At 39.7% G+C, this 27,202-nt stretch overlaps 1 annotated feature.

Annotated features, from left to right (window-relative positions):
- Positions 1–27,202: part of a centromere (Linear centromere model derived predominantly from reads generated in PMID: 17803354. This region does not represent an actual centromere sequence, as long-range ordering of repeats and unmapped WGS contigs is not provided by the model. For details of model production, see http://arxiv.org/abs/1307.0035.) that runs on past both edges of the window.

Genomic DNA, 27,202 nt, shown 5'->3' with positions numbered 1-27,202 from the left:
GTTTCTGAGAATGCTTGTGTCTAGTTGTTATGGGAAGATATCTCCTTTTTCAACATAGGCCTGAAAGCGCTCCAAATGTCCACTTCCAGATACTACAAAAGGAGTGATTCCAACCTGCTCTATGATAGGGAATGTTCAACTCTCTGTCCTGAATACAAACATCACAAAGATGTTTCTCAGAACGCTGCAGTCTGCAATTTGTATGAATTCCCGCTTCCAACGAAATCCTCAAAACTAGCCAAATATCCACTTGCAGATTCCACAAAAAGAGCATTTCAAAACTGCTCTATCAAAAGAAAGGTTCAACTTTGTTAGTTGAGTAGATACATCATAAACAAGTTTCTGAGAATGCTTCTGTCCAGTTTTTATGGGAAGATATTTCCTTTTTCACCTTAGCCCTGAAATCGCTCCAAAAGTCCAGTTCCAGATACTACAAAAGGGGTGTTTCAGGACTGCTCTATGAAAGGGAGTGTTCAACTTTTGACTTGAATGCAAACATCAGAAAGCAGTTTCTCAGAACGCTGCTGTGTGCTTTTTATATGTATTCCCGCTTCCAGCGAAATCCCCAAAGCTAGCCAAATATCCACTTGCAGATTCCAGAAAAAGAGAGTTTCAAAACTGCTCCTTCAAAACGGTGGTTCAATTCTCTTAGTTGAGTACACACATCTCAAATAAGTTTCTGAGAATGCTTCTGTCTAGTTGTTATGGGAAGATATTTCCTTTTCCAACATAGGCCTGAAAGCGCTCCAAATGTCCACTTCCAGATACTACAAAAGGAGTGATTCCAACCTGCTCTATGATAGGGAATGTTCAACTCTGTGTCCTGAATACAAACATCACAAAGATGTTTCTCAGAACGCTGCAGTCTGCAATTTGTATGAATTCCCGCTTCCAACGAAATCCTCAAAACTAGCCAAATATCCACTTGCAGATTCCACAAAAAGAGCATTTCAAAACTGCTCTATCAAAAGAAAGGTTCAACTTTGTTAGTTGAGTAGATACAGCATAAACAAGTTTCTGAGAATGCTTCTGTCCAGTTTTTATGGGAAGATATTTCCTTTTTCACCTTAGCCCTGAAAGCGCTCCAAATTTCCAGTTCCAGATACTACAAAAGGGGTGTTTCAAGACTGCTCTATGAAAGGGAGTGTTCAACTTTTGACTTGAATGCAAACATCAGAAAGCAGTTTCTCAGAACGCTGCTGTGTGCTTTTTATATGTATTCCCGCTTCCAGCGAAATCCCCAAAGCTAGCCAAATATCCACTTGCAGATTCCAGAAAAAGAGTGTTTCCAAACTGCTCCTTCAAAACGGTGGTTCAATTCTCTTAGTTGAGTACACACATCTCAAATAAGTTTCTGGGAATGCTTCTGTCTAGTTGTTATGGGAAGATATTTCCTTTTCCAACATAGGCCTGAAAGCGCTCCAAATGTCCACTTCCAGATACTACAAAAGGAGTGATTCAAACCTGCTCTATGATAGGGAATGTTCAACTCTGTGTCCTGAATACAAACATCACAAAGATGTTTCTCAGAACGCTGCAGTCTGCAATTTGTATGAATTCCCGCTTCCAACGAAATCCTCAAAACTAGCCAAATATCCACTTGCAGATTCCACAAAAAGAGCGTTTCGAAACTTCTCTATGAAAAGAAAGGTTCTACTCCTTTAGTTGAGGACACACATCGCGAGTAAGTTTCTGAGAATGCTTCTGTCTAGTTTTTATGGGAAGATATGTCCTTTTTCACCTTAGGCCGGAAAGCGCTCCAAATGTCCACTTACACACACTACAAAAAGAGTGTTTCAAACCTGCTCTGTGAAAGGGAATGTTCAATTCTGTGACTTGAATGCAATCATCACAAAGAACTTTCTGAGAATGCTGCTGACTGCTTTTTATACGTAATCCCGTTTCCAACGAAATCCTCAAATCTGGCCAAATATGCACTTGCAGATTCCACAAAAAGACTGTTTCAAAACTGTTCTGTCTAAAGAAATGTACAACTGTGTTAGTTGAGGACACACATCAGAAACTAGTTTCTGAGAATGCTTCTGTCTAGTTGTTATGGGAAGATATTTCCTTTTCCAACGTAGGCCTGAAAGCGCTCCAAATGTCCACTTCCATATACTAAAAAAAGAGTGTTTCAAACCTGCTCTACCAAAGGGAATGTTCTACTCTGTGACTTGAATGCAAACATCCCAAAGAAGTTTCTGAGAATGCTTCTGTCTAGATTTGATCTGAAGACAATCCCGTTTCCAACGAAATCCTCAAGGCTAGGCAAATATCCTCTTGCAGATTCCAGAAAAAGAGTGTTTCAAAACTGCTCCTTCAAAACGGTGGTTCAATTCTCTTAGTTGAGTACACACATCTCAAATAAGTTTCTGAGAATGCTTCTGCCTAGTTGTTACGGGAAGATATTTCCCTTTCCAACATAGGCCTGAAAGCGCTCCAAATGTCCACTTCCAGATACTACAAAAAGAGTGTTTCAAACCTGCTCTACCAAAGGGAATGTTCTACTCTGTGACTTGAATGCAAACATCCCAAAGAAGTTTCTGAGAATGCTTCTGTCTAGATTTTACCTGAAGACAATCCCGCTTCCCCACGAAATCCTCAAAGCTATGCAAAAATCCTCTTGCAGATTCTACAAAAAGAGTGTTTCAAAACTGCTCTATGAAAAGAAAGGTTCAACTCTGTCAGTAGAGGGCACACATCACAAACAAGTTTCTGAGAATGCTTGTGTCTAGTTGTTATGGGAAGATATTTCCTTTTTCAACATAGGCCTGAAAGCGCTCCAAATGTCCACTTCCAGATACTACAAAAGGAGTGATTCCAACCTGCTCTATGATAGGGAATGTTCAACTCTCTGTCCTGAATACAAACATCACAAAGATGTTTCTCAGAACGCTGCAGTCTGCAATTTGTATGAATTCCCGCTTCCAACGAAATCCTCAAAACTAGCCAAATATCCACTTGCAGATTCCACAAAAAGAGCATTTCAAAACTGCTCTATCAAAAGAAAGGTTCAACTTTGTTAGTTGAGTAGATACAGCATAAACAAGTTTCTGAGAATGCTTCTGTCCAGTTTTTATGGGAAGATATTTCCTTTTTCACCTTAGCCCTGAAAGCGCTCCAAAAGTCCAGTTCCAGATACTACAAAAGGAGTGTTTCAGGACTGCTCTATGAAAGGGAGTGTTCAACTTTTGACTTGAATGCAAACATCAGAAAGCAGTTTCTCAGAACGCTGCTGTGTGGTTTTTATATGTATTCCCGCTTCCAGCGAAATCCCCAAAGCTAGCCAAATATCCACTTGCAGATTCCAGAAAAAGAGTGTTTCAAAACTGCTCCTTCAAAACGGTGGTTCAATTCTCTTAGTTGAGTACACACATCTCAAATAAGTTTCTGAGAATGCTTCTGTCTAGTTGTTATGGGAAGATATTTCCTTTTCCAACATAGGCCTGAAAGCGCTCCAAATGTCCACTTCCAGATACTACAAAAGGAGTGATTCCAACCTGCTCTATGATAGGGAATGTTCAACTCTGTGTCCTGAATACAAACATCACAAAGATGTTTCTCAGAACGCTGCAGTCTGCAATTTGTATGAATTCCCGCTTCCAACGAAATCCTCAAAACTAGCCAAATATCCACTTGCAGATTCCACAAAAAGAGCGTTTCAAAACTTCTCTATGAAAAGAAAGTTTCTACTATTTTACTTGAGTACACACATCACGAGTAAGTTTCTGAGAATGCTTCTGTCTAGTTTTTATGGGAAGATATTTCCTTTTTCACCTTAGGCCGGAAAGCGCTCCAAATGTCCACTTACACACACTACAAAAAGAGTGTTTCAAACCTGCTCTGTGAAAGGGAATGTTCAATTCTGTGACTTGAATGCAATCATCACAAAGAACTTTCTGAGAATGCCGCTGTCTGCTTTTTATATGTAATCCCGTTTCCAACGAAATCCTCAAATCTAGCCAAATAGCCACTTGCAGATTCCACAAAAAGAGTGTTTCAAAACTGTTCTGTCTAAAGAAATGTTCAACTGTGTTAGTTGAGGACACACCTCAGAAACTAGTTTCTGAGAATGCTTCTGTCTAGTTGTTATGGGAAGATATTTCCTTTTCCAACGTAGGCCTGAAAGCGCTCCAAATGTCCACTTCCATATACTTAAAAAAGAGTGTTTCAAACCTGCTCTACCAAAGGGAATGTTCTACTCTGTGACATGAATGCAAACATCCCAAAGAAGTTTCTGAGAATGCTTCTGTCTAGATTTGATCTGAAGACAATCCCCTTTCCAACGAAATCCTCAAGGCTAGGCAAATATCCTCTTGCAGATTCCAGAAAAAGAGTGTTTCAAAACTGCTCCTTCAAAACGGTGGTTCAATTCTCTTAGTTGAGTACACACATCTCAAATAAGTTTCTGAGAATGCTTCTGCCTAGTTGTTACGGGAAGATATTTCCCTTTCCAACATAGGCCTGAAAGCGCTCCAAATGTCCACTTCCAGATACTACAAAAAGAGTGTTTCAAACCTGCTCTACCAAAGGGAATGTTCTGCTCTGTGACTTGAATGCAAACATCCCAAAGAAGTTTCTGAGAATGCTTCTGTCTAGATTTTACCTGAAGACAATCCCGTTTCCCACGAAATCCTCAAAGCTATGCAAATATCCTCTTGCAGATTCTACAAAAAGAGTGTTTCAAAACTGCTCTATGAAAAGAAAGGTTCAACTCTGTCAGTAGAGGGCACACATCACAAACAAGTTTCTGAGAATGCTTGTGTCTAGTTGTTATGGGAAGATATTTCCTTTTTCAACATAGGCCTGAAAGCGCTCCAAATGTCCACTTCCAGATACTACAAAAGGAGTGATTCCAACATGCTCTATGATAGGGAATGTTCATCTCTGTGTCTTGAATACAAACATCACAAAGATGTTTCTCAGAACGCTGCAGTCTGCAATTTGGATGAATTCCCGCTTCCAACGAAATCCTCAAAACTAGCCAAATATCCACTTGGAGATTCCACAAAAAGAGCGTTTCAAAACTTCTCTATGAATAGAAAGGTTCTATTCCTTTAGTTGAAGGCACACATCACGAGTAAGTTTCTGAGAATGCTTCTGTCTAGTTTTTATGGGAAGATATGTCCTTTTTCACCTTAGGCCGGAAAGCGCTCCAAATGTCCACTTACACACCCTACAAAAAGAGTGTTTCAAACCTGCTCTGTGAAAGGGAATGTTCAATTCTGTGACTTGAATGCAATCATCACAAAGAACTTTCTGAGAATGCTGCTGACTGCTTTTTATATGTAATCCCGTTTCCAACGAAATCCTCAAATCTAGCCAAATAGCCACTTGCAGATTCCACAAAAAGAGTGTTTCAAAACTGTTCTGTCTAAAGAAATGTTCAACTTGTGTTAGTTGAGGACACACATCAGAAACTAGTTTCTGAGAATGCTTCTGTCTAGTTGTTATGGGAAGATATTTCCTTTTCCAACGTAGGCCTGAAAGCGCTCCAAATGTCCACTTCCAGATACTAAAAAAAGAGTGTTTCAAACCTGCTCTACCAAAGGGAATGTTCTACTCTGTGACTGGAATGCAAGCATCCCAAAGAAGTTTCTGAGAATGCTTCTGTCTAGATTTTCTCTGAAGACAATCCCGTTTCCAACGAAATCCTCAAGGCTAGGCAAATATACTCTTGCAGATTCCAGAAAAAGAGTGTTTCAAAACTGCTCCTTCAAAACGGTGGTTCAATTCTCTTAGTTGAGTACACACATCTCAAATAAGTTTCTGAGAATGCTTCTGCCTAGTTGTTACGGGAAGATATTTCCCTTTCCAACATGGGCCTGAAAGCGCTCCAAATGTCCACTTCCAGATACTACAAAAAGAGTGTTTCAAACCTGCTCTACCAAAGGGAATGTTCTACTCTGTGACTTGAATGCAAACATCCCAAAGAAGTTTCTGAGAATGCTTCTGTCTAGATTTTACCTGAAGACAATCCCGTTTCCCACGAAATCCTCAAAGCTATGCAAATATCCTCTTGCAGATTCTACAAAAAGAGTGTTTCAAAACTGCTCTATGAAAAGAAAGGTTCAACTCTGTCAGTAGAGGGCACACATCACAAACAAGTTTCTGAGAATGCTTCTGCATAGTTGTTACGGGAAGATATTTCCCTTTCCAAAATAGGCCTGAAAGCGCTCCAAATGTCCACTTCCAGATACTACAAAAGGAGTGATTCCAACCTGCTCTATGATAGGGAATGTTCAACTCTGTGTCCTGAATACAAACATCACAAAGATGTTTCTCAGAACGCTGCAGTCTGCAATTTGTATGAATTCCCGCTTCCAACGAAATCCTCAAAACTAGCCAAATATCCACTTGCAGATTCCACAAAAAGACCATTTCAAAACTGCTCTATCAAAAGAAAGGTTCAACTTTGTTAGTTGAGTAGATACAGCATAAACAAGTTTCTGAGAATGCTTCTGTCCAGTTTTTATGGGAAGATATTTTCTTTTTCACCTTAGCCCTGAAAGCGCTCCAAAAGTCCAGTTCCAGATACTGCAAAAGGAGTGTTTCAGGACTGCTCTATGAAAGGGAGTGTTCAACTTTTGACTTGAATGCAAACATCAGAAAGCAGTTTCTCAGAACGCTTGCTGTGTGCTTTTTATATGTATTCCCGCTTCCAGCGAAATCCCCAAAGCTAGCCAAATATCCACTTGCAGATTCCAGAAAAAGAGAGTTTCAAAACTGCTCCTTCAAAACGGTGGTTCAATTCTCTTAGTTGAGTACACACATCTCAAATAAGTTTCTGAGAATGCTTCTGTCTAGTTGTTATGGGAAGATATTTCCTTTTCCAACATAGGCCTGAAAGCGCTCCAAATGTCCACTTCCAGATACTACAAAAGGAGTGATTCCAACCTGCTCTATGATAGGGAATGTTCAACTCTGTGTCCTGAATACAAACATCACAAAGATGTTTCTCAGAACGCTGCAGTCTGCAATTTGTATGAATTCCCGCTTCCAACGAAATCCTCAAAACTAGCCAAATATCCACTTGCAGATTCCACAAAAAGAGCGTTTCAAAACTTCTCTATGAAAAGAAAGGTTCTACTCCTTTAGTTGAGGACACACAATACGAGTAAGTTTCTGAGAATGCTTCTGTCCAGTTTTTATGGGAAGATATTTCCTTTTTCACCTTAGCCCTGAAAGCGCTCCAAAAGTCCAGTTCCAGATACTACAAAAGGAGTGTTTCAGGACTGCTCTATGAAAGGGAGTGTTCAACTTTTGACTTGAATGCAAACATCAGAAAGCAGTTTCTCAGAACGCTGCTGTGTGCTTTTTATATGTATTCCCGCTTCCAGCGAAATCCCCAAAGCTAGCCAAATATCCACTTGCAGATTCCAGAAAAAGAGTGTTTCAAAACTGCTCCTTCAAAACGGTGGTTCAATTCTCTTAGTTGAGTACACACATCTCAAATAAGTTTCTGAGAATGCTTCTGTCTAGTTGTTATGGGAAGATATTTCCTTTTCCAACATAGGCCTGAAAGCGCTCCAAATGTCCACTTCCAGATACTACAAAAGGAGTGATTCAAACCTGCTCTATGATAGGGAATGTTCAACTCTGTGTCCTGAATACAAACATCACAAAGATGTTTCTCAGAACGCTGCAGTCTGCAATTTGTATGAATTCCCGCTTCCAACGAAATCCTCAAAACTAGCCAAATATCCACTTGCAGATTCCACAAAAAGAGCATTTCAAAACTGCTCTATCAAAAGAAAGGTTCAACTTTGTTAGTTGAGTAGATACAGCATAAACAAGTTTCTGAGAATGCTTCTGTCCAGTTTTTATGGGAAGATATTTCCTTTATCACCTTAGCCCTGAAAGCGCTCCAAAAGTCCAGTTCCAGATACTACAAAAGGAGTGTTTCAGGACTGCTCTATGAAAGGGAGTGTTCAACTTTTGACTTGAATGCAAACATCAGAAAGCAGTTTCTCAGAACGCTGCTGTGTGCTTTTTATATGTATTCCCGCTTCCAGCGAAATCCCCAAAGCTAGCCAAATATCCACTTGCAGATTCCAGAAAAAGAGTGTTTCAAAACTGCTCCTTCAAAACGGTGGTTCAATTCTCTTAGTTGAGTACACACATCTCAAATAAGTTTCTGAGAATGCTGCAGTCTGCAATTTGTATGAATTCCCGCTTCCAACGAAATCCTCAAAACTAGCCAAATATCCACTTGCAGATTCCACAAAAAGAGCGTTTCAAAACTTCTCTATGAAAAGAAAGGTTCTACTCCTTTAGTTGAGGACACACATCACGAGTAAGTTTCTGAGAATACTTCTGTCTAGTTTTTATGGGAAGATATTTCCTTTTTCACCTTAGGCCGGAAAGCGCTCCAAATGTCCACTTACACTCACTACAAAAAGAGTGTTTCAAACCTGCTCTGTGAAAGGGAATGTTCAATTACTGTGACTTGAATGCAATCATCACAAAGAACTTTCTGAGAATGCTGCTGACTGCTTTTTATATGTAATCCCGTTTCCAACGAAATCCTCAAATCTAGCCCAATATCCACTTGCAGATTCCACAAAAAGAGTGTTTCAAAACTGTTCTGTCTAAAGAAATGTACAACTGTGTTAGTTGAGGACACACATCAGAAACTAGTTTCTGAGAATGCTTCTGTCTAGTTGTTATGGGAAGATATTTCCTTTTCCAACGTAGGCCTGAAAGCGCTCCAAATGTCCACTTCCATATACTAAAAAAAGAGTGTTTCAAACCTGCTCTACCAAAGGGAATGTTCTACTCTGTGACTTGAATGCAAACATCCCAAAGAAGTTTCTGAGAATGCTTCTGTCTAGATTTTATCTGAAGACAATCCCGTTTCCAACGAAATCCTCAAGGCTAGGCAAATATACTCTTGCAGATTCCAGAAAAAGAGGGTTTCAAAACTGCTCCTTCAAAACGGTGGTTCAATTCTCTTAGTTGAGTACACACATCTCAAATAAGTTTCTGAGAATGCTTCTGCCTAGTTGTTACGGGAAGATATTTCCCTTTCCAACATGGGCCTGAAAGCGCTCCAAATGTCCACTTCCAGATACTACAAAAAGAGTGTTTCAAACCTGCTCTACCAAAGGGAATGTTCTACTCTGTGACTTGAATGCAAACATCCCAAAGAAGTTTCTGAGAATGCTTCTGTCTAGATTTTTCCTGAGACAATCCCGTTTCCCACGAAATCCTCAAAGCTATGCAAATATCCTCTTGCAGATTCTACAAAAAGAGTGTTTCAAAACTGCTCTATGAAAAGAAAGGTTCAACTCTGTCAGTAGAGGGCACACATCACAAACAAGTTTCTGAGAATGCTTCTGCATAGTTGTTACGGGAAGATATTTCCCTTTCCAAAATAGGCCTGAAAGCGCTCCAAATGTCCACTTCCAGATACTACAAAAGGAGTGATTCCAACCTGCTCTATGATAGGGAATGTTCAACTCTGTGTCCTGAATACAAACATCACAAAGATGTTTCTCAGAACGCTGCAGTCTGCAATTTGTATGAATTCCCGCTTCCAACGAAATCCTCAAAACTAGCCAAATATCCACTTGCAGATTCCACAAAAAGACCATTTCAAAACTGCTCTATCAAAAGAAAGGTTCAACTTTGTTAGTTGAGTAGATACAGCATAAACAAGTTTCTGAGAATGCTTCTGTCCAGTTTTTATGGGAAGATATTTCCTTTTTCACCTTAGCCCTGAAATCGCTCCAAAAGTCCAGTTCCAGATACTACAAAAGGGGTGTTTCAAGACTGCTCTATGAAAGGGAGTGTTCAACTTTTGACTTGAATGCAAACATCAGAAAGCAGTTTCTCAGAACGCTGCTGTGTGCTTTTTATATGTATTCCCGCTTCCAGCGAAATCCCCAAAGCTAGCCAAATATCCACTTGCAGATTCCAGAAAAAGAGAGTTTCAAAACTGCTCCTTCAAAACGGTGGTTCAATTCTCTTAGTTGAGTACACACATCTCAAATAAGTTTCTGAGAATGCTTCTGTCTAGTTGTTATGGGAAGATATTTCCTTTTCCAACATAGGCCTGAAAGCGCTCCAAATGTCCACTTCCAGATACTACAAAAGGAGTGATTCCAACCTGCTCTATGATAGGGAATGTTCAACTCTGTGTCCTGAATACAAACATCACAAAGATGTTTCTCAGAACGCTGCAGTCTGCAATTTGTATGAATTCCCGCTTCCAACGAAATCCTCAAAACTAGCCAAATATCCACTTGCAGATTCCACAAAAAGAGCATTTCAAAACTGCTCTATCAAAAGAAAGGTTCAACTTTGTTAGTTGAGTAGATACAGCATAAACAAGTTTCTGAGAATGCTTCTGTCCAGTTTTTATGGGAAGATATTTCCTTTTTCACCTTAGCCCTGAAAGCGCTCCAAAAGTCCAGTTCCAGATACTACAAAAGGAGTGTTTCAGGACTGCTCTATGAAAGGGAGTGTTCAACTTTTGACTTGAATGCAAACATCAGAAAGCAGTTTCTCAGAACGCTGCTGTGTGCTTTTTATATGTATTCCCGCTTCCAGCGAAATCCCCAAAGCTAGCCAAATATCCACTTGCAGATTCCAGAAAAAGAGTGTTTCAAAACTGCTCCTTCAAAACGGTGGTTCAATTCTCTTAGTTGAGTACACACATCTCAAATAAGTTTCTGAGAATGCTGCAGTCTGCAATTTGTATGAATTCCAGCTTCCAACGAAATCCTCAAATCTAGCCAAATATCCACTTGCAGATTCCACAAAAAGAGCATTTCAAAACTGCTCTATCAAAAGAAAGCTTCAACTTTGTTAGCAGAGTAGATACAGCATAAACAAGTTTCTGAGAATGCTTCTGTCCAGTTTTTATGGGAAGATATTTCCTTTTTCACCTTAGCCCTGAAAGCGCTCCAAAAGTCCAGTTCCAGATACTACAAAAGGAGTGTTTCAGGACTGCTCTATGAAAGGGAGTGTTCAACTTTTGACTTGAATGCAAACATCAGAAAGCAGTTTCTCAGAACGCTGCTGTGTGCTTTTTATATGTATTCCCGCTTCCAGCGAAATCCCCAAAGCTAGCCAAATATCCACTTGCAGATTCCAGAAAAAGAGTGTTTCAAAACTGCTCCTTCAAAACGGTGGTTCAATTCTCTTAGTTGAGTACACACATCTCAAATAAGTTTCTGAGAATGCTTCTGTCTAGTTGTTATGGGAAGATATTTCCTTTTCCAACATAGGCCTGAAAGCGCTCCAAATGTCCACTTCCAGATACCACAAAAGGAGTGATTCCAACCTGCTCTATGATAGGGAATGTTCAACTCTGTGTCCTGAATACAAACATCACAAAGATGTTTCTCAGAACGCTGCAGTCTGCAATTTGTATGAATTCCCGCTTCCAACGAAATCCTCAAAACTAGCCAAATATCCACTTGCAGATTCCACAAAAAGAGCGTTTCAAAACTTCTCTATGAAAAGAAAGGTTCTACTCCTTTAGTTGAGGACACACATCACGAGTAAGTTTCTGAGAATGCTTCTGTCTAGTTTTTATGGGAAGATATTTCCTTTTTCACCTTAGGCCGGTAAGTGCTCCAAATGTCCACTTACACACACTATAAAAAGAGTGTTTCAAACCTGCTCTGTGAAAGGAAATGTTCAATTCTGTGACTTGAATGCAATCATCACAAAGAACTTTCTGAGAATGCTGCTGTCTGCTTTTTATATGTAATCCCGTTTCCAACGAAATCCTCAAATCTAGCCAAATAGCCACTTGCAGATTCCACAAAAAGAGTGTTTCAAAACTGTTCTGTCTAAAGAAATGTTCAACTGTGTTAGTTGAGGACACACATCAGAAACTAGTTTCTGAGAATGCTTCTGTCTAGTTGTTATGGGAAGATATTTCCTTTTCCAACGTAGGCCTGAAAGCGCTCCAAATGTCCACTTCCATATACTAAAAAAAGAGTGTTTCAAACCTGCTCTACCAAAGGGAATGTTCTACTCTGTGACATGAATGCAAACATCCCAAAGAAGTTTCTGAGAATGCTTCTGTCTAGATTTGATCTGAAGACAATCCCGTTTCCAACGAAATCCTCAAGGCTAGGCAAATATCCTCTTGCAGAGTCCAGAAAAAGAGTGTTTCAAAACTGCTCCTTCAAAACGGTGGTTCAATTCTCTTAGTTGAGTACACACATCTCAAATAAGTTTCTGAGAATGCTTCTGCCTAGTTGTTACGGGAAGATATTTCCCTTTCCAACATAGGCCTGAAAGCGCTCCAAATGTCCACTTCCAGATACTACAAAAAGAGTGTTTCAAACCTGCTCTACCAAAGGGAATGTTCTGCTCTGTGACTTGAATGCAAACATCCCAAAGAAGTTTCTGAGAATGCTTCTGTCTAGATTTTACCTGAAGACAATCCCGTTTCCCACGAAATCCTCAAAGCTATGCAAATATCCTCTTGCAGATTCTACAAAAAGAGTGTTTCAAAACTGCTTTATGAAAAGAAAGGTTCAACTCTGTCAGTAGAGGGCACACATCACAAACAAGTTTCTGAGAATGCTTGTGTCTAGTTGTTATGGGAAGATATTTCCTTTTTCAACATAGGCCTGAAAGCGCTCCAAATGTCCACTTCCAGATACTACAAAAGGAGTGATTCCAACCTGCTCTATGATAGGGAATGTTCAACTCTCTGTCCTGAATACAAACATCACAAAGATGTTTCTCAGAACGCTGCAGTCTGCAATTTGTATGAATTCCCGCTTCCAACGAAATCCTCCAAACTAGCCAAATATCCACTTGCAGATTCCACAAAAAGAGCATTTCAAAACTGCTCTATCAAAAGAAAGGTTCAACTTTGTTAGTTGAGTAGATACAGCATAAACAAGTTTCTGAGAATGCTTCTGTCCAGTTTTTATGGGAAGATATTTCCTTTTTCACCTTAGCCCTGAAATCGCTCCAAAAGTCCAGTTCCAGATACTACAAAAGGGGTGTTTCAGGACTGCTCTATGAAAGGGAGTGTTCAACTTTTGACTTGAATGCAAACATCAGAAAGCAGTTTCTCAGAACGCTGCTGTGTGCTTTTTATATGTATTCCCGCTTCCAGCGAAATCCCCAAAGCTAGCCAAATATCCACTTGCAGATTCCAGAAAAAGAGTGTTTCAAAACTGCTCCTTCAAAACGGTGGTTCAATTCTCTTAGTTGAGTACACACATCTCAAATAAGTTTCTGAGAATGCTTCTGTCTAGTTGTTATGGGAAGATATTTCCTTTTCCAACATAGGCCTGAAAGCGCTCCAAATGTCCACTTCCAGATACTACAAAAGGAGTGATTCAAACCTGCTCTATGATAGGGAATGTTCAACTCTCTGTCCTGAATACAAACATCACAAAGATGTTTCTCAGAACGCTGCAGTCTGCAATTTGTATGAATTCCCGCTTCCAACGAAATCCTCAAAACTAGCCAAATATCCACTTGCAGATTCCACAAAAAGAGCGTTTCAAAACTTCTCTATGAAAAGAAAGGTTCTACTCCTTTAGTTGAGGACACACATCACGAGTAAGTTTCTGAGAATGCTTCTGTCTAGTTTTTATGGGAAGATATTTCCTTTTTCACCTTAGGCCGGAAAGTGCTCCAAATGTCCACTTACACACACTATACAAAGAGTGTTTCAAACCTGCTCTGTGAAAGGGAATGTTCAATACTGTGACTTGAATGCAATCATCACAAAGAAGTTTCTGAGAATGCTGCTGTCTGCTTTTTATATGTAATCCCGTTTCCAACGAAATCCTCAAATCTAGCCAAATAGCCACTTGCAGATACCACAAAAAGAGTGTTTCAAAACTGTTCTGTCTAAAGAAATGTTCAACTGTGTTAGTTGAGGACACATATCAGAAACTAGTTTCTGAGAATGCTTCTGTCTAGTTGTTATGGGAAGATATTTCCTTTTCCAACGTAGGCCTGAAAGCGCTCCAAATGTCCACTTCCATATACTAAAAAAAGAGTGTTTCAAACCTGCTCTACCAAAGGGAATGTTCTACTCTGTGACTTGAATGCAAACATCCCAAAGAAGTTTCTGAGAATGCTTCTGTCTAGATTTGATCTGAAGACAATCCCGTTTCCAACGAAATCCTCAAAGCTATGCAAATATCCTCTTGCAGATTCCAGAAAAAGAGTGTTTCAAAACTGCTCCTTCAAAAGGTGGTTCAATTCTCTTAAGTTGAGTACACACATCTCAAATAAGTTTCTGAGAATGCTTCTGCCTAGTTGTTACGGGAAGATATTTCCCTTTCCAACATAGGCCTGAAAGCGCTCCAAATGTCCACTTCCAGATACTACAAAAAGAGTGTTTCAAACCTGCTCTACCAAAGGGAATGTTCTACTCTGTGACTTGAATGCAAACATCCCAAAGAAGTTTCTGAGAATGCTTCTGTCTAGATTTTACCTGAAGACAATCCCGTTTCCCACGAAATCCTCAAAGCTATGCAAATATCCTCTTGCGGATTCTACAAAAAGAGTGTTTCAAAACTGCTCTATGAAAAGAAAGGTTCAACTCTGTCAGTAGAGGGCACACATCACAAACAAGTTTCTGAGAATGCTTGTGTCTAGTTGTTATGGGAAGATATTTCCTTTTTCAACATAGGCCTGAAAGCGCTCCAAATGTCCACTTCCAGATACTACAAAGGGAGTGATTCCAACCTGCTCTATGATAGGGAATGTTCATCTCTGTGTCCTGAATAGAAACATCACAAAGATGTTTCTCAGAACGCTTCTCTCTAGATTTTTATATGAGGATATTCCCGTTTCCAACGAAATCCACAAAGCTATCGAAATATCCACTTGCAGATTCTACAAAAAGAGTGTTTCAAAACTGCTCTATCAAAAGAAAGGTTCTACCCCTTTAGTTGAGGACACACATCACGAGTAAGTTTCTGAGAATGCTTCTGTCTAGTTTTTATGGGAAGATATTTCCTTTTTCACCTGAGGCCGGAAAGCGCTCCAAATGTCCACTTCCAGATACTACAAAAGGAGTGATTCAAACCTGCTCTATGATAGGGAACGTTCAACTCTGTGTCCTGAATACAAACATCACAAAGATGTTTCTCAGAACGCTGCAGTCTGCAATTTGTATGAATTCCCGCTTCCAACGAAATCCTCAAAACTAGCCAAATATCCACTTGCAGATTCCACAAAAAGAGCGTTTCAAAACTTCTCTATGAAAAGAAAGGTTCTACTCCTTTAGTTGAGGACACACATCACGAGTAAGTTTCTGAGAATACTTCTGTCTAGTTTTTATGGGAAGATATTTCCTTTTTCACCTTAGGCCGGAAAGTGCTCCAAATGTCCACTTACACACACTATACAAAGAGTGTTTCAAACCTGCTCTGTGAAAGGGAATGTTCAATACTGTGACTTGAATGCAATCATCACAAAGAAGTTTCTGAGAATGCTGCTGTCTGCTTTTTATATGTAATCCCGTTTCCAACGAAATCCTCAAATCTGGCCAAATAGCCACTTGCAGATACCACAAAAAGAGTGTTTCAAAACTGTTCTGTCTAAAGAAATGTTCAACTGTGTTAGTTGAGGACACACATCAGAAACTAGTTTCTGAGAATGCTTCTGTCTAGTTGTTATGGGAAGATATTTCCTTTTCCAACGTAGGCCTGAAAGCGCTCCAAATGTCCACTTCCATATACTAAAAAAAGAGTGTTTCAAACCTGCTCTACCAAAGGGAATGTTCTACTCTGTGACTTGAATGCAAACATCCCAAAGAAGTTTCTGAGAATGCTTCTGTCTAGATTTGATCTGAAGACAATCCCGTTTCCAACGAAATCCTCAAGGCTAGGCAAATATCCTCTTGCAGATTCCAGAAAAAGAGTGTTTCAAAACTGCTCCTTCAAAACGGTGGTTCAATTCTCTTAGTTGAGTACACACATCTCAAATAAGTTTCTGAGAATGCTTCTGCCTAGTTGTTACGGGAAGATATTTCCCTTTCCAACATAGGCCTGAAAGCGCTCCAAATGTCCACTTCCAGATACTACAAAAAGAGTGTTTCAAACCTGCTCTACCAAAGGGAATGTTCTACTCTGTGACTTGAATGCAAACATCCCAAAGAAGTTTCTGAGAATGCTTCTGTCTAGATTTTACCTGAAGACAATCCCGTTTCCCACGAAATCCTCAAAGCTATGCAAATATCCTCTTGCAGATTCTACAAAAAGAGTGTTTCAAAACTGCTCTATGAAAAGAGAGGTTCAACTCTGTCAGTAGAGGGCACACATCACAAACAAGTTTCTGAGAATGCTTGTGTCTAGTTGTTATGGGAAGATATTTCCTTTTTCAACATAGGCCTGAAAGCGCTCCAAATGTCCACTTCCAGATACTACAAAAGGAGTGATTCCAACCTGCTCTATGATAGGGAATGTTCAACTCTCTGTCCTGAATACAAACATCACAAAGATGTTTCTCAGAACGCTGCAGTCTGCAATTTGTATGTATTCCAGCTTCCAACGAAATCCTCAAATCTAGCCAAATATCCACTTGCAGATTCCACAAAAAGAGCATTTCAAAACTGCTCTATCAAAAGAAAGGTTCAACTTTTTTAGTAGAGTAGATACAGCATAAACAAGTTTCTGAGAATGCTTCTGTCCAGTTTTTATGGGAAGATATTTCCTTTTTCACCTTAGCCCTGAAAGCGCTCCAAAAGTCCAGTTCCAGATACTACAAAAGGAGTGTTTCAGGACTGCTCTATGAAAGGGAGTGTTCAACTTTTGACTTGAATGCAAACATCAGAAAGCAGTTTCTCAGAACGCTGCTGTGTGCTTTTTATATGTATTCCCGCCTCCAGCGAAATCCCCAAAGCTAGCCAAATATCCACTTGCAGATTCCAGAAAAAGAGTGTTTCAAAACTGCTCCTTCAAAACGGTGGTTCAATTCTCTTAGTTGAGTACACACATCTCAAATAAGTTTCTGAGAATGCTGCAGTCTGCAATTTGTATGAATTCCCGCTTCCAACGAAATCCTCAAAACTAGCCAAATATCCACTTGGAGATTCCACAAAAAGAGCGTTTCAAAACTTCTCTATCAATAGAAAGGTTCTACTCCTTTAGTTGAGGACACACATCACGAGTAAGTTTCTGAGAATGCTTCTGTCTAGTTTTTATGGGAAGATATGTCCTTTTTCACCTTAGGCTGGAAAGCGCTCCAAATGTCCACTTACACACACTACAAAAAGAGTGTTTCAAACCTGCTCTATGAAAGGGAATGTTCAATTCTGTGACTTGAATGCAATCATCACAAAGAACTTTCTGAGAATGCTGCTGACTGCTATTTATATGTAATCCCGTTTCCAACGAAATCCTCAAATCTAGCCCAATATCCACTTGCAGATTCCACAAAAAGAGTGTTTCAAAACTGTTCTGTCTAAAGAAATGTACAACTGTGTTAGTTGAGGACACACATCAGAAACTAGTTTCTGAGAATGCTTCTGTCTAGTTGTTATGGGAAGATATTTCCTTTTCCAACGTAGGCCTGAAAGCGCTCCAAATGTCCACTTCCATATACTAAAAAAAGAGTGTTTCAAACCTGCTCTACCAAAGGGAATGTTCTACTCTGTGACTTGAATGCAAACATCCCAAAGAAGTTTCTGAGAATGCTTCTGTCTAGATTTTCTCTGAAGACAATCCCGTTTCCAACGAAATCCTCAAGGCTAGGCAAATATACTCTTGCAGATTCCAGAAAAAGAGTGTTTCAAAACTGCTCCTTCAAAACGGTGGTTCAATTCTCTTAGTTGAGTACACACATCTCAAATAAGTTTCTGAGAATGCTTCTGCCTAGTTGTTACGGGAAGATATTTCCCTTTCCAACATGGGCATGAAAGCGCTCCAAATGTCCACTTCCAGATACTACAAAAAGAGTGTTTCAAACCTGCTCTACCAAAGGGAATGTTCTACTCTGTGACTTGAATGCAAACATCCCAAAGAAGTTTCTGAGAATGCTTCTGTCTAGATTTTACCTGAAGACAATCCCGTTTCCCACGAAATCCTCAAAGCTATGCAAATATCCTCTTGCAGATTCTACAAAAAGAGTGTTTCAAAACTGCTCTATGAAAAGAAAGGTTCAACTCTGTCAGTAGAGGGCACACATCACAAACAAGTTTCTGAGAATGCTTCTGCATAGTTGTTACGGGAAGATATTTCCCTTTCCAAAATAGGCCTGAAAGCGCTCCAAATGTCCACTTCCAGATACTACAAAAGGAGTGATTCCAACCTGCTCTATGATAGGGAATGTTCAACTCTGTGTCCTGAATACAAACATCACAAAGATGTTTCTCAGAACGCTGCAGTCTGCAATTTGTATGAATTCCCGCTTCCAATGAAATCCTCAAAACTAGCCAAATATCCACTTGCAGATTCCACAAAAAGACCATTTCAAAACCTGCTCTATCAAAAGAAAGGTTCAACTTTGTTAGTTGAGTAGATACAGCATAAACAAGTTTCTGAGAATGCTTCTGTCCAGTTTTTATGGGAAGATATTTCCTTTTTCACCTTAGCCCTGAAATCGCTCCAAAAGTCCAGTTCCAGATACTACAAAAGGGGTGTTTCAAGACTGCTCTATGAAAGGGAGTGTTCAACTTTTGACTTGAATGCAAACATCAGAAAGCAGTTTCTCAGAACGCTGCTGTGTGCTTTTTATATGTATTCCCGCTTCCAGCGAAATCCCCAAGCTAGCCAAATATCCACTTGCAGATTCCAGAAAAAGAGTGTTTCAAAACTGCTCCTTCAAAACGGTGGTTCAATTCTCTTAGTTGAGTACACACATCTCAAATAAGTTTCTGAGAATGCTTCTGTCTAGTTGTTATGGGAAGATATTTCCTTTTCCAACATAGGCCTGAAAGCACTCCAAATGTCCACTTCCAGATACTACAAAAGGAGTGATTCAAACCTGCTCTATGATAGGGAATGTTCAACTCTGTGTCCTGAATACAAACATCACAAAGATGTTTCTCAGAACGCTGCAGTCTGCAATTTGTATGAATTCCCGCTTCCAACGAAATCCTCAAAACTAGCCAAATATCCACTTGCAGATTCCACAAAAAGAGCGTTTCAAAACTTCTCTATGAAAAGAAAGGTTCTACTCCTTTAGTTGAGGACACACATCACGAGTAAGTTTCTGAGAATGCTTCTGTCTAGTTTTTATGGGAAGATATTTCCTTTTTCACCTTAGGCCGGTAAGTGCTCCAAATGTCCACTTACACACACTACAAAAAGAGTGTTTCAAACCTGCTCTGTGAAAGGGAATGTTCAATTCTGTGACTTGAATGCAATCATCACAAAGAACTTTCTGAGAATGCTGCTGACTGCTTTTTATATGTAATCCCGTTTCCAACGAAATCCTCAAATCTAGCCAAATAGCCACTTGCAGATTCCACAAAAAGAGTGTTTCAAAACTGTTCTGTCTAAAGAAATGTTCAACTGTGTTAGTTGAGGACACACATCAGAAACTAGTTTCTGAGAATGCTTCTGTCTAGTTGTTATGGGAAGATATTTCCTTTTCCAACGTAGGCCTGAAAGCGATCAAAATGTCCACTTCCATATACTAAAAAAAGAGTGTTTCAAACCTGCTCTACCAAAGGGAATGTTCTACTCTGTGACTTGAATGCAAACATCCCAAAGAAGTTTCTGAGAATGCTTCTGTCTAGATTTTCTCTGAAGACAATCCCGTTTCCAACGAAATCCTCAAGGCTAGGCAAATATACTCTTGCAGATTCCAGAAAAAGAGTGTTTCAAAACTGCTCCTTCAAAACGGTGGTTCAATTCTCTTAGTTGAGTACACACATCTCAAATAAGTTTCTGAGAATGCTTCTGCCTAGTTGTTACGGGAAGATATTTCCCTTTCCAACATGGGCCTGAAAGCGCTCCAAATGTCCACTTCCAGATACTACAAAAAGAGTGTTTCAAACCTGCTCTACCAAAGGGAATGTTCTACTCTGTGACTTGAATGCAAACATCCCAAAGAAGTTTCTGAGAATGCTTCTGTCTAGATTTTACCTGAAGACAATCCCGTTTCCCACGAAATCCTCAAAGCTATGCAAATATCCTCTTGCAGATTCTACAAAAAGAGTGTTTCAAAACTGCTCTATGAAAAGAAAGGTTCAACTCTGTCAGTAGAGGGCACACATCACAAACAAGTTTCTGAGAATGCTTCTGCATAGTTGTTACGGGAAGATATTTCCCTTTCCAAAATAGGCCTGAAAGCGCTCCAAATGTCCACTTCCAGATACTACAAAAGGAGTGATTCCAACCTGCTCTATGATAGGGAATGTTCAACTCTGTGTCCTGAATACAAACATCACAAAGATGTTTCTCAGAACGCTGCAGTCTGCAATTTGTATGAATTCCCGCTTCCAACGAAATCCTCAAAACTAGCCAAATATCCACTTGCAGATTCCACAAAAAGACCATTTCAAAACTGCTCTATCAAAAGAAAGGTTCAACTTTGTTAGTTGAGTAGATACAGCATAACCAAGTTTCTGAGAATGCTTCTGTCCAGTTTTTATGGTAAGATATTTCCTTTTTCACCTTAGCCCTGAAATCGCTCCAAAAGTCCAGTTCCAGATACTACAAAAGGGGTGTTTCAAGACTGCTCTATGAAAGGGAGTGTTCAACTTTTGACTTGAATGCAAACATCAGAAAGCAGTTTCTCAGAACGCTGCTGTGTGCTTTTTATATGTATTCCCGCTTCCAGCGAAATCCCCAAAGCTAGCCAAATATCCACTTGCAGATTCCAGAAAAAGAGTGTTTCAAAACTGCTCCTTCAAAACGGTGGTTCAATTCTCTTAGTTGAGTACACACATCTCAAATAAGTTTCTGAGAATGCTTCTGTCTAGTTGTTATGGGAAGATATTTCCTTTTCCAACATAGGCCTGAAAGCGCTCCAAATGTCCACTTCCAGATACTACAAAAGGAGTGATTCCAACCTGCTCTATGATAGGGAATGTTCAACTCTGTGTCCTGAATACAAACATCACAAAGATGTTTCTCAGAACGCTGCAGTCTGCAATTTGTATGAATTCCCGCTTCCAACGAAATCCTCAAAACTAGCCAAATATCCACTTGCAGATTCCACAAAAAGAGCGTTTCAAAACTTCTCTATGAAAAGAAAGGTTCTACTCCTTTAGTTGAGGACACACATCACGAGTAAGTTTCTGAGAATGCTTCTGTCTAGTTTTTATGGGAAGATATTTCCTTTTTCACCTTAGGCCGGTAAGTGCTCCAAATGTCCACTTACACACACTACAAAAAGAGTGTTTCAAACCTGCTCTGTGAAAGGGAATGTTCAATTCTGTGACTTGAATGCAATCATCACAAAGAACTTTCTGAGAATGCTGCTGTCTGCTTTTTATATGTAATCCCGTTTCCAACGAAATCCTCAAATCTAGCCAAATAGCCACTTGCAGATTCCACAAAAAGAGTGTTTCAAAACTGTTCTGTCTAAAGAAAAGTTCAACTGTGTTAGTTGAGGACACACATCAGAAACTAGTTTCTGAGAATGCTTCTGTCTAGTTGTTATGGGAAGATATTTCCTTTTCCAACGTAGGCCTGAAAGCGCTCCAAATGTCCACTTCCATATACTAAAAAAAGAGTGTTTCAAACCTGCTCTACCAAAGGGAATGTTCTACTCTGTGACTTGAATGCAAACATCCCAAAGAAGTTTCTGAGAATGCTTCTGTCTAGATTTTATCTGAAGACAATCCCGTTTCCAACGAAATCCTCAAGGCTAGGCAAATATACTCTTGCAGATTCCAGAAAAAGAGTGTTTCAAAACTGCTCCTTCAAAACGGTGGTTCAATTCTCTTAGTTGAGTACACACATCTCAAATAAGTTTCTGAGAATGCTTCTGCCTAGTTGTTACGGGAAGTATATTTCCCTTTCCAACATAGGCCTGAAAGCGCTCCAAATGTCCACTTCCAGATACTATAAAAAGAGTGTTTCAAACCTGCTCTACCAAAGGGAATGTTCTACTCTGTGACTTGAATGCAAACATCCCAAAGAAGTTTCTGAGAATGCTTCTGTCTAGATTTTTACCTGAAGACAATCCCGTTTCCCACGAAATCCTCAAAGCTATGCAAATATCCTCTTGCAGATTCTACAAAAAGAGTGTTTCAAAACTGCTCTATGAAAAGAAAGGTTCAACTCTGTCAGTAGAGGGCACACATCACAAACAAGTTTCTGAGAATGCTTCTGCATAGTTGTTACGGGAAGATATTTCCCTTTCCAAAATAGGCCTGAAAGCGCTCCAAATGTCCACTTCCAGATACTACAAAAGGAGTGATTCCAACCTGCTCTATGATAGGGAATGTTCAACTCTGTGTCCTGAATACAAACATCACAAAGATGTTTCTCAGAACGCTGCAGTCTGCAATTTGTATGAATTCCCGCTTCCAACGAAATCCTCAAAACTAGCCAAATATCCACTTGCAGATTCCACAAAAAGACCATTTCAAAACTGCTCTATCAAAAGAAAGGTTCAACTTTGTTAGTTGAGTAGATACAGCATAACCAAGTTTCTGAGAATGCTTCTGTCCAGTTTTTATGGGAAGATATTTCCTTTTTCACCTTAGCCCTGAAATCGCTCCAAAAGTCCAGTTCCAGATACTACAAAAGGGGTGTTTCAAGACTGCTCTATGAAAGGGAGTGTTCAACTTTTGACTTGAATGCAAACATCAGAAAGCAGTTTCTCAGAACGCTGCTGTGTGCTTTTTATATGTATTCCCGCTTCCAGCGAAATCCCCAAAGCTAGCCAAATATCCACTTGCAGATTCCAGAAAAAGAGTGTTTCAAAACTGCTCCTTCAAAACGGTGGTTCAATTCTCTTAGTTGAGTACACACATCTCAAATAAGTTTCTGAGAATGCTGCAGTCTGCAATTTGTATGAATTCCCGCTTCCAACGAAATCCTCAAAACTAGCCAAATATCCACTTGCAGATTCCACAAAAAGAGCGTTTCAAAACTTATCTATGAAAAGAAAGGTTCTACTTCTTTAGTTGAGGACACACATCACGAGTAAGTTTCTGAGAATGCTTCTGTCTAGTTTTTATGGGAAGATATTTCCTTTTTCACCTTAGGCCGGAAAGTGCTCCAAATGTCCACTTACACACACTATACAAAGAGTGTTTCAAACCTGCTCTGTGAAAGGGAATGTTCAATACTGTGACTTGAATGCAATCATCACAAAGAAGTTTCTGAGAATGCTGCTGACTGCTTTTTATATGTAATCCCGTTTCCAACGAAATCCTCAAATCCAGCCAAATAGCCACTTGCAGATTCCACAAAAAGAGTGTTTCAAAACTGTTCTGTCTAAAGAAATGTTCAACTGTGTTAGTTGAGGACACACATCAGAAACTAGTTTCTGAGAATGCTTCTGTCTAGTTGTTATGGGAAGATATTTCCTTTTCCAACGTAGGCCTGAAAGCGATCCAAATGTCCACTTCCATATACTAAAAAAAGAGTGTTTCAAACCTGCTCTACCAAAGGGAATGTTCTACTCTGTGACTTGAATGCAAACATCCCAAAGAAGTTTCTGAGAATGCTTCTGTCTAGATTTTCTCTGAAGACAATCCCGTTTCCAACGAAATCCTCAAGGCTAGGCAAATATACTCTTGCAGATTCCAGAAAAAGAGTGTTTCAAAACTGCTCCTTCAAAACGGTGGTTAAATTCTCTTAGTTGAGTACACACATCTCAAATAAGTTTCTGAGAATGCTTCTGCCTAGTTGTTACGGGAAGATATTTCCCTTTCCAACATGGGCCTGAAAGCGCTCCAAATGTCCACTTCCAGATACTACAAAAAGAGTGTTTCAAACCTGCTCTACCAAAGGGAATGTTCTACTCTGTGACTTGAATGCAAACATCCCAAAGAAGTTTCTGAGAATGCTTCTGTCTAGATTTTACCTGAAGACAATCCCGTTTCCCACGAAATCCTCAAAGCTATGCAAATATCCTCTTGCAGATTCTACAAAAAGAGTGTTTCAAAACTGCTCTATGAAAAGAAAGGTTCAACTCTGTCAGTAGAGGGCACACATCACAAACAAGTTTCTGAGAATGCTTCTGCATAGTTGTTACGGGAAGATATTTCCCTTTCCAAAATAGGCCTGAAAGCGCTCCAAATGTCCACTTCCAGATACTACAAAAGGAGTGATTCCAACCTGCTCTATGATAGGGAATGTTCAACTCTGTGTCCTGAATACAAACATCACAAAGATGTTTCTCAGAACGCTGCAGTCTGCAATTTGTATGAATTCCCGCTTCCAACGAAATCCTCAAAACTAGCCAAATATCCACTTGCAGATTCCACAAAAAGACCATTTCAAAACTGCTCTATCAAAAGAAAGGTTCAACTTTGTTAGTTGAGTAGATACAGCATAAACAAGTTTCTGAGAATGCTTCTGTCCAGTTTTTATGGGAAGATATTTCCTTTTTCACCTTAGCCCTGAAATCGCTCCAAAAGTCCAGTTCCAGATACTACAAAAGGGGTGTTTCAGGACTGCTCTATGAAAGGGAGTGTTCAACTTTTGACTTGAATGCAAACATCAGAAAGCAGTTTCTCAGAACGCTGCTGTGTGCTTTTTATATGTATTCCCGCTTCCAGCGAAATCCCCAAAGCTAGCCAAATATCCACTTGCAGATTCCAGAAAAAGAGAGTTTCAAAACTGCTCCTTCAAAACGGTGGTTCAATTCTCTTAGTTGAGTACACACATCTCAAATAAGTTTCTGAGAATGCTTGTGTCTAGTTGTTATGGGAAGATATTTCCTTTTTCAACATAGGCCTGAAAGCGCTCCAAATGTCCACTTCCAGATACTACAAAAGGAGTGATTCCAACCTGCTCTATGATAGGGAATGTTCATCTCTGTGTCCTGAATACAAACATCACAAAGATGTTTCTCAGAACGCTGCAGTCTGCAATTTGTATGAATTCCCGCTTCCAACGAAATCCTCAAAACTAGCCAAATATCCACTTGGAGATTCCACAAAAAGAGCGTTTCAAAACTTCTCTATGAATAGAAAGGTTCTACTCCTTTAGTTGAGGACACACATCACGAGTAAGTTTCTGAGAATGCTTCTGTCTAGTTTTTATGGGAAGATATTTCCTTTTCCACCTTAGGCCGGAAAGCGCTCCAAATGTCCACTTACACACACTACAAAAAGAGTGTTTCAAACCTGCTCTGTGAAAGGGAATGTTCAATTCTGTGACTTGAATGCAATCATCACAAAGAACTTTGTGAGAATGCTGCTGTCTGCTTTTTATATGTAATCCCGTTTCCAACGAAATCCTCAAATCTAGCCAAATATCCACTTGCAGATTCCACAAAAAGAGTGTTTCAAAACTGTTCTGTCTAAAGAAAAGTTCAACTGTGTTAGTTGAGGACACACATCAGAAACTAGTTTCTGAGAATGCTTCTGTCTAGTTGTTATGGGAAGATATTTCCTTTTCCAACGTAGGCCTGAAAGCGCTCCAAATGTCCACTTCCATATACTAAAAAAAGAGTGTTTCAAACCTGCTCTACCAAAGGGAATGTTCTACTCTGTGACTTGAATGCAAACATCCCAAAGAAGTTTCTGAGAATGCTTCTGTCTAGATTTGATCTGAAGACAATCTCGTTTCCAACGAAATCCTCAAAGCTAGGCAAATATCCTCTTGCAGATTCCAGAAAAAGAGTGTTTCAAAACTGCTCCTTCAAAACGGTGGTTCAATTCTCTTAGTTGAGTACACACATCTCAAATAAGTTTCTGAGAATGCTTCTGCCTAGTTGTTACGGGAAGATATTTCCCTTTCCAACATAGGCCTGAAAGCGCTCCAAATGTCCACTTCCAGATACTACAAAAAGAGTGTTTCAAACCTGCTCTACCAAAGGGAATGTTCTGCTCTGTGACTTGAATGCAAACATCCCAAAGAAGTTTCTGAGAATGCTTCTGTCTAGATTTTACCTGAAGACAATCCCGTTTCCCACGAAATCCTCAAAGCTATGCTAATATCCTCTTGCAGATTCTACAAAAAGAGTGTTTCAAAACTGCTCTATGAAAAGAAAGGTTCAACTCTGTCAGTAGAGGGCACACATCACAAACAAGTTTCTGAGAATGCTTGTGTCTAGTTGTTATGGGAAGATATTTCCTTTTTCAACATAGGCCTGAAAGCGCTCCAAATGTCCACTTCCAGATACTACAAAAGGAGTGATTCCAACCTGCTCTATGATAGGGAATGTTCAACTCTCTGTCCTGAATACAAACATCACAAAGATGTTTCTCAGAACGCTGCAGTCTGCAATTTGTATGAATTCCCGCTTCCAACGAAATCCTCAAAACTAGCCAAATATCCACTTGCAGATTCCACAAAAAGAGCATTTCAAAACTGCTCTATCAAAAGAAAGGTTCAACTTTGTTAGTTGAGTAGATACAGCATAAAAAAGTTTCTGAGAATGCTTCTGTCCAGTTTTTATGGGAAGATATTTCCTTTTTCACCTTAGCCCTGAAAGCGCTCCAAAAGTCCAGTTCCAGATACTACAAAAGGAGTGTTTCAGGACTGCTCTATGAAAGGGAGTGTTCAACTTTTGACTTGAATGCAAACATCAGAAAGCAGTTTCTCAGAACGCTGCTGTGTGCTTTTTATATGTATTCCCGCCTCCAGCGAAATCCCCAAAGCTAGCCAAATATCCACTTGCAGATTCCAGAAAAAGAGTGTTTCAAAACTGCTCCTTCAAAACGGTGGTTCAATTCTCTTAGTTGAGTACACACATCTCAAATAAGTTTCTGAGAATGCTTGTGTCTAGTTGTTATGGAAAGATATTTCCTTTTTCAACATAGGCCTGAAAGCGCTCCAAATGTCCACTTCCAGATACTACAAAAGGAGTGATTCCAACCTGCTCTATGATAGGGAATGTTCAACTCTGTGTCCTGAATACAAACATCACAAAGATGTTTCTCAGAACGCTGCAGTCTGCAATTTGTATGAATTCCCGCTTCCAACGAAATCCTCAAAACTAGCCAAATATCCACTTGCAGATTCCACAAAAAGAGCGTTTCAAAACTTCTCTATGAAAAGAAAGGTTCTACTCCTTTAGTTGAGGACACACATCACGAGTAAGTTTCTGAGAATGCTTCTGTCTAGTTTTTATGGGAAGATATTTCCTTTTTCACCTTAGGCCGGTAAGTGCTCCAAATGTC

The sequence above is a fragment of the Homo sapiens genome, chromosome 18 (assembly GCF_000001405.40).
Source record: "Homo sapiens chromosome 18, GRCh38.p14 Primary Assembly".
In the NCBI taxonomy this organism is placed as follows: Eukaryota; Metazoa; Chordata; class Mammalia; order Primates; family Hominidae; genus Homo; species Homo sapiens.
Note: the sequence above shows the minus strand (reverse complement) of the source record. Positions and strands in the feature narration are given on the sequence as shown.